The sequence below is a fragment of the Homo sapiens genome, chromosome 1, assembly GCF_000001405.40.
Source record: "Homo sapiens chromosome 1, GRCh38.p14 Primary Assembly".
Taxonomy (NCBI): domain Eukaryota; kingdom Metazoa; phylum Chordata; class Mammalia; order Primates; family Hominidae; genus Homo; species Homo sapiens.
In genome coordinates, this window is record NC_000001.11 from 6,989,253 (window position 1) to 7,001,502 (window position 12,250).

A 12,250-nucleotide genomic window follows, 5' to 3' on the forward strand; every position below is an offset into this window, starting at 1 on the left:
ATAAGTATCCCAACCTGTTCCATATTTATTATGGGCAACAATTTGACTAACGGAGAATTTAGATTAATAACATTCAGGCCAGAGAAGTAATTTCCTTTGAGAAAGCGATTTACATGCGCTCTGCCAGAGAGAGCCGTGGCCGCTCTCTTGTCATGTCAGCTCAAATAATGAAGTTGAAAATAACATGGAAGGTTAATAGGTCCAACTTATCTCTTTAGAACTGAAAAGGAAGATTTACAGTGTGGAGGCTGTTTTGCATATTTCCAGTGGGAATTGAAAGTTTTTTTTCCCCAAACAAGATTTATGAGAACTCACCGTTCAAGGTATCTGCTCTGTTATTGCTCCTAAGTGAGGCAGTAAACCTCTTCATTTGGGTGGATGCCCCGGGCTTTAAAGATAGCTGTCTTCCCCCACGTCACTGGCAGGGGTGTACTGGAATGCTGGCATGGGGGTGCTACCTCGGGAAGAGTTTAACTTTGAAAGGAGAGTCAACTGCTTCTGACTCTAGGAGGTCACATCCTTTGTTTGCTAATGACTAGAGAGAGGATTAAACATTTCCATTACCTAGACCTTTCAAAACATTTCTTGGATTTATTTTGCCATTATTTACTGACCTTGGGGGGTGAGTCCTGGGCTGGAGGAATAGAGGGAAAGGGAGCTGGGTCAGAGCAAGGAGAATGGGGGAGTGGGGCAGCAACATGACCTCTGCATTCCAGGCAACAAGTGGGTCTTTCAGGCTCTCACTTGCTTCTTAACTGGCTTCCCTGGAAAGCTCACCCAAGCCCTTCTGCTAACATCTCACTGGCCAACTTCATCTGCAGACGGGCTGGGAGGGGCAATCTTTTGCTCAGCACTTTCCTGCCCGTAATGAAATTGGAGTGTGTTATTTAGGAAGAATGGGAGAGTGGATATTGGTAGGTCACCAGCAGTCTTTAGCTCAAGTGTTTAGTTCATTTATTTTCAATCTTTCTTGTTTTCTGTTAAATGCAAACTATAAATTGTCCTTTAAATACTGCTTTAGCTGTGTCTCACAATTTTTTTTCTTTCTCCCAAACATTATACTGAAAAATTTCAAACGTAAAGAAGAGTTGAATTAGATATGATATATCCATCACTTTAACAATTTGCTATATTTGCTTTATCCCATATTCATCCATGTATCAATTCATCAATCCATCTTGGTTTGATATATTTCACAGTAAATCACAGCTAACAGTACATGTCGCCTCTAAATATTTCAGCATGCATATTATGAACTGTTTATTTACTTTTTAAGGTAAAATTCCTACAGTGAAACACACAATCTTAAGTGTGCCGTGCGATGAGTTTTGACAGATGTGTCTACCCATGTAACCCAAACTTCTATAAAGACACAGAACATTTCTATCATCCCAAAAGGGTTCCTCTGGTCTCTTCTTAGTCAATGCTCTCCTACCCCCAGGCAACCAATGTTTTGATTATTTTCACCATTAGTTATTTTTGCCTATTCTAGAACTTTATGAATTCATATAACATGTACTTTCTCTCTCTCTGTCTCTCTCTCTCTCTCTCTCTATATATATATATATTTATATATATATGTGTGTGTGTGTTTTAATCTCAATAGCTTTTTGGGGGTACAAGTGGTTTCAAGTGGTTTTGGTTACATGGATTAATTTGGTGAAGGCTGAGATTTCAGTGCACTGGTGACCGGAGGAGTGTATATTGTACCTAATACGTAGCTTTAAACATGTCCTCTTTTAGGCAAGGCTTCCTTCATTCAGCATGTTTTTTGAGATTCATCTGTGTTGTTGCAAGTATCAGTAGTTTGTATCAGTAGTTTTTTTTTCCTTTTTATTGAGAGTAGTATTCCATTGTATGAATGTACCATAGTTTGTTTATCCATTCATTCATGGACATCTGGTAGGTTTCCAGTTTTTGGCTATTATGAATAAAACTGCTGTGAATATTTTGTACAAGTCTTTTTTGGGGATGTGTGTTTTTATTTCTTTTGGGTAAATGCCTAGGAAAGAATTGTTGGGTGCTGTGTTTTCTTTTTTTTAAAAGAAACTGCTGGATGTTTTTTTCCCCTAAAGTGGTTGTACCATTTCCACCAGCAATGTATGAGGATTCCAGTTGCTCTCCATACTCACCAACATTTAGTGCTGTGACTCTTAATTTCAGCCATTCTGATGGGTGAACAGTGGGATCTCATTGTGGTTTCCACTTGCATTCCCTGATGACTAATGGTATTTTCCATGTGTTTATTAGTCATCCATATATCTCCCTTTGTGACATATCTGCTCCAATCTTTTGTCCATTAAACATCGTGGATTTCCCTTTTGTTAGTGGGGGCTTGTAGTTTATATATTCTGGATACAGTTCTTTGTTAGCTATATGTTTCACAAATATTTTCTCTTAGAATGTGGCCTGCTTATTCATTTTTATTTTTATTTATTTGTTTATCCATTCATTCATTTATTTTGAGACAGAGTCTTGCTCTGTTGCCCAGGGTGGAGTGCAGTGGAGTGATCTCGGTTTACTGCAGTCTCCCCTTCCTGGGTTGAAGCGATTCTCCGGCCTCAGCCTTCTGAGTAGCTGGGATTACAGGTGACCACCACCATACCTGGCTATTTTTTTTTGTATTTTTAGTAGAGATGTGGTTTTGCCATGTTGGCCAGGTTGGTCTCAAACTCCTGGCCTCAAGTGATCCGCCTGCCTCGGCCTCCCAAAGTGCTGGGATTACAGGCGTGAGCCACTGTGCCCGGCTTTTGTTTATTGTTATAATGGTGTTTCTTTATGACCAGAATTTTACATTTTGCTGAAATATATTTTTTATGATTTATTTATTTATTTTTGAGCTAGTCTTACTCTGTCACCCAGGCTGGAGTGCAGTGATGCAGTTATGCCTCACTGCAGCCCTGACACCTGGGGCTCAAGCAATCCTCTCACCTCAGCCTCCCGAATAGCTGGAACTACAGGTGCACACCACCAGGCCGGCTAATTTTTGTATTTATTTTTGTAGCAACGTGGTCTTGCCATGTTGCCTAGGCTCGACTTGAACTCCTGGGCTCAAGTGATCTACCTGCCTCAGCCTCCCAAAGTGCTGGGATTACAGGCATAAGCCACTGTGCCCAGCCTGAAGTTTATCACTTTTTTCCCTTTCTGATTATTTCTTTCCATGCCTTCTCTAAGAAATCTTTGCTTATTGTGAAGATATTCTCCTATGTTTTCTTCTAGAAGCCTTATAATGCTAGCTTTTACATGCAGGTCTGTTGCTCATCCATTTTCACACTGCTAGAAAGAAATACCTGAGACTGGGTAATTTATCAAGAAAAGAGGTTTAATTGGTTCATGGTTCTGCAGGCTGTACAGGAATTGTGGCTGGGGATGCCTCAGGAAACTTTCAATTATGGCAGGAGGGAAAGCAGGCACGTCTTACATGGCCAGAGCAGGAGGAAGAAAGTGAAGTGGGAAGTGCCACATACTTTTAAACAATCAGATCTTGTGAGAACTCACCTGCTATCATGAGAGCAGCAAGGGGGAAATGCGTTGCCATGATCCAATCACCTCCCACCAGGCCCCTCCTGCAACACTGGGGATTACAATTTGGCATGATATTTGGGTGGAGACACAAATCCCAACCATGTCACCATCTCAGATTAACTTTTATGTATGGTGTAAGGTAGGAGACAACATTGTTATTTTCCATAGTGATGTCTAGTTGTTCAGCACCATTTGTTAAAAAAAGACTTTCTTTTCCCCATTGGATTGCTTTGGCACCTTTGTCTAAACATTAATTAACCACATAAGGGTGGATCTATTTTGGTTTCTATTCTTTTCCACTAATCTATTTGTCTGTCCTTATACCAGTACCTCACTGTCTTGATTATTGGAGCTTTATAATAAATCTTGATGTCAGTTCTCCAACTTTACTTTTTCAAAATGATTTGACTATCTTACCTCTTTGACATTTTCATATAAATTTAGAATCAGCTTGTCAATTTCTATTAAAAAAACCTGCAGGTATTTTCATTAGGATAGTGTTATAGATTATTTGGAGAGAACTGTCATCTTTAAAATACTGAGTCTTCCAGTCCATAAAGGTGGTATATCTCTTATTTAGGTCTTCTTTAATTTCCTTCAGCAATGTTTTTAGTTTTCAGTGTGGAGATTTTGCACATCTTTTCCTGAATTTATTCCTAGGCATTTTATGATTTTTTTTTTAGACACCATTACTAAAATCCCCAATTGAGATAATAGGTCTATTTCTCTCTTTATTTCTGTCAATTTTTGCTTCTTGTCTTTTGAGGCTCTGTTATTAGGCACATGCACAATTATGATTGTAATGCCTCCCTGATTAATTGCCTCATTTTTCACTATGAAATGTCTCTACTTCTGGTAAACTGTTTGTCTTGAAGTCTACGCTACATAGCCATTTCCAGCCTTCTGATGTTTGTGGTTTACATGGTGTATGTTTTTTTATCTATTGCTTTCTTTGTCTTTCTATTTAAAATGTGTTTCTTGTAGACAGCCTATAGTTTGGTCTTGCTTTTTCCTACATTCTGACAATCTCTGTTTTTAAACTGGAGTGTTTAGTCTATTTATATTTAATATAATTATTGATATGTTTGGATTTAGGCCTACCATGTCGACATATATTTTCTGTTTATCTCACTTGTTTTTAATTGCTCTTTGGGTTAATTGAATGTATTAAAAATAATTTTAATTTGTTCATGCCTCTTTGCATGTTTTGAATTTTTTGGTGGTTGCACTAGGGAATGTAATGTATATTCTTAACTTTTCACAATCTACATGTAGTTAATATTTGTATCACTTTATGTAAATTATAAGAATCTTGCAACTATATTGTTTATATCTTAATTTCTTCATGCTATACTTGTTATATGTATTATATCTATATATGCTATAAGCCCCATAGTGTATTTTTTCTTTTTTTGCTTTAAACAGCCACATGTGTTTTATGACAGTAGGAGAAGAAAATGGTATCTTTTATAATCATACTTTGGAAGATCTTTGTTTCTTCCTGAAATCAGAGTTCCCATTTGTATCATTTTCCTTTGGTGTGAAGAATTTCATTTAACTTTATTTCATAGGGAAGATTTGCTGGTGGTGAATTTTCTTATATTTTATTTTTCTTAACATGTCTTCATTTTGCCTTACTTAATGGTGGATTTTTCACTGGGTGTAGAATTCTGAGTGGACAGTGTGTTTTTCTCTCAGCACATTAAAGGTGCTGTTCTCTTCCTTCTGGCCTCTTGTTTTTGATAAGGTGTTCTTTAGCATTTGTGTTATTCCCTGCGGAACGTGTCCTTTATTTCTGGCTCCCTTCAGAATTCTCCCTTTATCTTTGGGGTTATTCACTTTGACCATGATGTGCCTAGGTATTATTTGTTTTGTTTTGTTCATTTTGTTTGAACTTCTTTTTTTTTTGAGACAAGGTCTGGCTCTATCACCCAGACTAGAGTTCAGTGGCACAATCTCGGCTCACAGCAACCTCCACCTCCCAGGCTCAAACGATCCTCTCCCCTCAGCCTCCTGAATAGCTGGGACTACAGGCGTGCACCACCATGCCTAACTAAATTTTGTATTTTCTGTAGAGACAGAGTTTCGCCATGTTGGTCAGGCTGGTCTAAAACTCCTGGGCACAAGTGATCCTCCCGCCTTGGCCTCTCAAAGTGCTGGGGATTATAGACATGAGCCATTGCACCCGGCCCGAGCTTCTTGATTCTGAAAATCTATGCCTTTCAACAAATTTGGGAAAATTTTGGCCATTATTTCTTCAAATTGTTATTCTGCCATATTCTCATTGTCTTCTTCTGGGACTTCAATTATATGGATATTTGACCTCATGTTTTTGTTTTTTTAAAAAAATAAATCACCAAGGCTTGTTCATGTTTTTCAAACTCTTTTTTTTTCCAGATAGATCAGTATTTATCGGTGCCAGCACTATTGACATTTTGGGCCAGTCATTATTTGTTGCATGTGGGAACTCACTTGAGCACATTTACTTTAGATCCTTTAAAATCTTTTTTTTCTTTTCTTTTTTTTTTTTTTTTTTTTTTTTGAGATGGAGTCTCACTCTGTCGCCAGGCTGGAGTAGTGCAGTGACATGATCTTGGCTCACTGCAACCTCCGCCTCCTGGGTTCAAGCGATTCTTTTGCCTCAGCCTCCCCAGTAACTGAGACTACAGACCTGCGCCACCACGCCCAGCTAATTTTTGTATTTTTAGTAGAGACGAGGCTTCACCATTTTGGCCAGGATTGTCTCAATCTCTTGACCTCGTGATCCGCCTGCCTTGGCCTCCCAAAGTGCTGGGATTACAGGCGTGAGCCACCGCACCTGGCCTAAAATCTTTGTCTTCCAATTTCAACATCGTTTTAAAATACAAATCATTATTATTCAAGTATGGTGTGACTAACAGATCGGGAGATGATTGCTTTTGAAAAGAAAGCTTGTTACAATTCCAAGAGGAAGGGGTACTGCCTGCTACGGGGGCACATGGGAGAGCACCAGGAGTGGTCAGAGGTGGAGGGAGCAAGGAGAAGTATGGATCAGAGCCTTTGCTGTGGTTTCTGTGAGAAGGGCAAGGCCAGGCCAGGCAACTTAGACAGGCATAAGACTGGCTAGTTCAAACAATTTTGGTGGGCTCTGAGCGAAGGGGCTGTCTCTTGCTGCCTGGTACCTGGCCCTGGGGCAAGTAGGGCAGGGGAACAGTGGTATGAGTGAGAGCTCACCAAGGGAGGCGGGTGTGGCGTGGGCTTCAGAATGGTTGGTTTGCACATGAAAGGGGCATTCCTTGGCAAGGCATTTGCTATCTGCAGGAATTGTCTAACCCTGGGAAGTGCGGTCCTTTCTAGAGTTAGCAAAGCCCCAAGACGTCAAAACATCAGAATAAACAGACATCTTCATACAAAAATTTGTGTCATCTCAGAGTCCATTGATTGATTGCCTTTTCTCTTGAGTATGAGTTGCATTTTTCTGCTCATATATCTTGTAATTTGGGACTGGATTCTGGACCTTGTGAATGATACGTTGCAGAGACTTGGGATTCTGTTACGCTATTCAGAATAATATTGAGTTTTTGTTTTAGCAGATACTTCGCTGAGTTCAAACTATAAACTCTGTCTTGTCTCTGCTGCAGCAGAAATCTCTGTCCAGGTGTTTAGGCCTTAGGTGGGCTGCTTACAGTCTATTCCATGCAAACATAATTCAGAGATCAGCTGGAGATTGAGGCAGTTTATGCACAGACTTTGGTGTTCTCCCTCTGTGGCTCTTTCCTTTTAGGGAGTTCCCCTTTCATTTTCTAGCTGCTGTGGTTAACCCAAGCTCTCCTCTGATTCTACAAAAAGTAAGACTTCAGTTTTCTATCTGAGTATTAGCTGCTCTGTGACACTGACTGGGGCCTGCCTCAGGCAAAAAGCTATTTAAAAAAAAAAGAAAGAAAGAAAGAAAGAAAGAAAAAAAGTCACAAACCCTCAGAAACTTACCCAGTCTTATTCCCTTCTTTCTACTGTCCAAATCCCACCCATTTCTGCCTGCCTTTGGTCTCTCTCTATTGTCCTCTGATTAAAAAATATATATATTTTAAATGTTGGAAGGTTGGTCCAACAAGAGCTACTTCTCCATGATTGAAAGTGGAATTCTATGTCTCATGAATTTTGACACATAGTGATTTTCCTGTGTTCTAAGTGTTCAAAAATTTCCCTTACGATTTTTTCCTTTAACAAGTATCACTGGGATGTCTTTTCGCTTCCAGATGTGTCGGTTTGCAAGCGAACCTTTTGTTGGTAATTGTAAGCATTCTTATGTTACAGTCTTACGTGTGGTTCCTAGGACGATGATTCTTTGGCATTCACCGAAGCTTCCCTTGTGGCTCAGTGCATGTTTAATTTTTTTGTGAATGTTCTACACGTACTCAAAAAGGATGTGCATTCTCTGTTGGACGAATTTTCCGTGTATTTATTAGTTAAACCCTAATAAATTCCTTCATCTTTGTTTTTTGCTTTGTGTGTGTGTGTGTGCGAGCCATCAGTTTGTGAGGGGATGCGTTAAAGTCTCCAACCAAACCTACTGATTTATCTATTTCTTTTTGCAGCCCTGTCAGATGTTACTCTGCATTTTTTGAGGCCAAATTCCGAGGTGCATATCTTTTCAGGATCATGACATCTTCTTGTGTTAGTTCCTTTCGGAAGCATGTCGCGTCTCTCCCTATCTTACCTGTCCTTTGGCTCTTCGGGCAGCCTCTCAATTTCAGGTTTTTACACATCTCTCTAATTCTGGGAAATTCTTGGTTATTAGTTCTTCATACAGATTCCTCCATTCATGTTTCTGTCCTCCTGGGTCTCCTGTGACATGGATGTTGACAGGTCGTCTTCTGTTTTCCATATTTCCTTTCTTTTCTTTCTTTTTTTTTTTTTTTTTGAGACAGAGTTTCGCTTTTGTTGCCCAGGCTGGAGTGCAGTGGCTCGATCTTGGCTCACTGCAACCTCCACCTCCCGGGTTCAAGCGATTCTCCTGCCTTAGCCTCTGGAGTAGCTGGGATTACAGGCGTGCACCACCACGCCTGGCTAGTTTTTTGTATTTTTAGTAGGGACGGGGTTTCACCATGGCCAGGCTGGTCTTGAACTCCTGACCTCAGGTGATCCGCCCTCCTTGGCCTCCCAGTGTGCTGGGATTAAAGGTGTGAGCCACCGTGCCCAGCCTCCTTTCATTTATTACAAATTTTTTTTCCATCTCTTTATCTTTTTTTTGATGCATTCTGGTAAGCTCCCTGTTGTGATCTTAACCTCACTAAATTATTCTTTGGCTGTGTACTGAGTGCCTTTTTTTGTTTTGTTTTGAGATGGAGTCTCGCTCTGTCACCCAGGCTGGAGCGCAGTGGCACGGTCTTGGTTCACTGCAACCTCTGCCTTCTGGGTTCAAGTGATTCTCCTACCTCAGCCTCCCGAGTAGCTGGGACTACAGGTGCGTGCCGCCACATCCAGCTAATTTTTTTTTGTATTTTTAGTAGAGACAGAGTTTCAACATGTTGGCCAGGCTGGTCTGACCTCAGGTGATCCGCCCATCTCTGAGCGCTTTCTTCTAGGAATAAGATAGAATAAGTCTGCACCTCCAGCAGGCTTCTTCCCCTCATCTGAGTCCAGAGGGAGCCCTGGAGCTCTGCGTGCTCTCCGCACATGCCATGCCACTCCCTCTGCGTCACATGTCCCTCTGCCACCAAGATCTGCTTTTATCCCTGTGCTCCTCAGTCACCAGAGGGAGCCCAGACTCCCAAGCCTGTCCCCAGGGAGACCTGCCCTCAAGGTTTCTTTGAGAATCCACTCCCCATGCACTTTGCCTTCTCCATAGCACCGTCTGGTGCACCTTGCGTTTCGTCTCTCTTGCCAAACGTAAGAGCCACGGAGGCAGCACTTTTTGTCTCTTTTGTCCTGTAACATATCCCTGGCATCTTGCTGTGGCGTCTGACATGCGGTGGATGCTCAATAAATATTTGCAAAATTAATCAATAATTATACTGTAGTTTTATTTTACCTATCATGTTTCTTTTCATAAAGCTACCTTTTATTGGACATCTATGTTCAAAAGCAGTGTTAGGATCTTTACATTTATGACATTATTTAAATATTCATTTATTCATTTCTTTCTACCTTTTTTGTATTGTAAAATACACATAACATAAAATTTACCATTTTAAACTTTTTTTAGTGCACAGTTCAATGGCATTAAGTACATTCTCACTTTTGTGCAGCCATCATAGTCTCCAGAAGTTTTTCATTTTCCCAAACTGAAACTCTGTGCCCACAAAACAAAGCAATTATGTTTCTATAGCCAGCGTTTCCAGTGGCTTCTTCCTATGACTGCCTCTTCCCACTCTGTGTTCCCAGTGTCTTCCCTGATCTCTTTGAGGATATCTGCTTATTTTGAATTCTTGTTCTGGTTTGCCTCTTAATTCTGCTTCCTGATATAAACATAGGGTTTGTCTTTGTGTTACGTTGTTCTTGCACTGAGATAAAGAAATGCCTGAGACTGGGTAATTTATAAAGAAAAGGGGTTGAATTGGCTCATGGTTTGGCAGGCTGTACAAGCATGGTGCTCATCACTTGGCTTCTGGAGAGGCCTCGGGGAGCATTTATTTATTTATTTATGAGACAGAGTCTCACTCTGTTGCCCAGGCTGGAGTGCGGTGGTGCCATCTTGGCTCACTGCAACCTCTGCCTGTCAGGCTCGGGTGATCCTCCTATCTCAGTCTCCCAAGTAGTTGGGAATACAGGTGCATGCCAGCATGCCTGGCTAATTTTTGTGTTTTTGTAGAGACGGGGCTTTCCCATGTTGCCTAGGCTGGTCTCGAACTACTGGGCTCGAGTGATCTGCCTACCCCAGCCTCCCAAAGTGCTAGGATTATACCGTACCCGGCCGGGTCTTTTTTCTTAGAGCGGTTGTACTCCTTGGATGTTTGGTTATTTTTCCCTGTGAGCCATAGCTGCCTTGGAGGGTCATACAGGTCTAGGCCAGGGGCAGGGCCTGCACCCTCACTTGTGCTCTTTCTGGTGAGTTCTAGAGAATTGGGGGTGGGGAGTGAGGAGAATACGTTGGTGATAAAATCTGGTCTTGATCATTCCCTGATTTCAGTCTGCTTTTTCCTCCCTGTAGTGCCCTGGCCAACCTGACCCTGACAGGTTCTTTTCTGAGAGCTGCCAGCCTCTATTGCAAGTCCCCCAACCAAGGGGTGGAGAAAGAGAATCGAGTGTTCAGGGGCCACCCTGCTGCCAGGTTCCACTGTGATAGACTGTCTGCGTTGTCTGGGCCCTGGTACCAGCTGGTGCTGGGTGAGGGGCTGGTGCTTCTGCTCTTCTGTGGTCCTCGCTCTAGGGACAGGATGGGAGATGTGTGTCCAGGGCAAGATGGAGTGGGGAGCTGGGCCACCGAAAGCTGGCTTCCTTGCAGCCTGCTCACCCTGGAGCTGGCGCCTCTTTCACTTCCCGGTCCTGCAGCCCCCTGCGTGGGGAGGACCCACTCATGCTTGTCTTCCCCAGGAACTTCTCACCATTTCTACCCAAGACTTTCCTCTTGTTTGGGGGCATCTCTAAAATATGGGGAACCAGCCCCTGCGTCAGCCACTGTCTTGCTAGCTACCTTTGTCTTTTGAAGGCCACAGGGCAGGGGAGTAGGTTTAAAATGGCTCTGCTTAGGATGGGAAGTTGAAGAGGCAGGACAGGAGCGAGGTGGGGAGCATGTCTTATGGAGCGGGGCCTGGAAAACAAGCAGTGGAACAGTCTGGCTGTCTCCCCACAGCCTGTGGAGCAGGTCAGCTTATGGGGCTCCTATCCTGAGAGGGAGCAGGTGCCTTGGCCCGTGGAAGTCCAAGGTTCTGCATGATGTGGCCTCTCTTGGCTCTGACTTTGGGTGCTTCTGACTTGTTTACCACATATGTTTCCTTTCAGGTTCATTCTTCCACATTCCCACCCTTACCTGTTGACCTCCCCCAATTCCTGCTCATCTTTTTGTCTAATGAGCTTCTGGTGACTTCTAATGGGCACCTTATGTTTTAAAGTGGTCAGATTTGTTTCAGAGAGAGAGACTTTGTGGGAAGCCACAGACATGTTTTTATAGAATCCCAGTGTCTTTGAGCAGAAAGGGGCTTTAGAGGTGACAGGTCCCATTGCTCTCAGATTATCTTATATTTGACTCACTAATTACTCATTTAAGAAACCCAGTTCCCACACCGATAGGAAAAACCCTACCCTTTCTTTCAGTTGTCACTTACATATTTATAATTGTCGTTATATTTTTAATTTCTTTAGTTTTAAGGCCATGAGTATCGGAGTAATGGTGATGGGAGAAAATTTGCTGGGGAGTTCTTAATCATCGTGAAAATCCCATGTTTTCAAAGCACTTCTCACCACTTCAAAACCACCAACTCTCTAAACTCCATTTTCAGAGCACTTCTCACCATTTCATAATCACCAACTCTATAAACTCCAGGAGGATAGGAGTTTGTCTTTGTGTTCACTGCTGTCTCTCCAGGTCCCAGGACAATGCTCTCTACGTATTTGTCAAGTGAACAAATGACACCGTTAGTAACCCTACCTCTGAATCCCATCTCTTAGCTCCACCCTGCACTTGAATATTTTCAGAGCTGAGGAGCTCACCACTTTGCACGCTGACCTGCTATTTCTGCAATAGTATAAATGGTCAGCAAGTTCTTGTTTCTGCTGAGTGTAAATTATTCACCTTGAATATACATTA

General features: G+C 42.0%; 1 protein-coding gene across 25 annotated transcripts in view, besides 1 other annotated feature; it reads left to right on the forward strand.

Annotated features, from left to right (window-relative positions):
• The window catches only part of CAMTA1 (calmodulin binding transcription activator 1), a 984,253-nt gene that overhangs the window by 203,799 nt on the left and 768,204 nt on the right, over window positions 1-12,250 (forward strand). The gene's annotated exons all lie outside the window — the stretch shown is intronic.
• Window positions 7,280-7,369: a silencer, noted in NCBI's record as "silent region_183". NCBI's record gives its function as "represses an Ori minimal core promoter by ATAC-STARR-seq in GM12878 lymphoblastoid cells {active_cell/tissue: GM12878}" and the evidence as "EXISTENCE:reporter gene assay evidence [ECO:0000049][PMID:35858748]".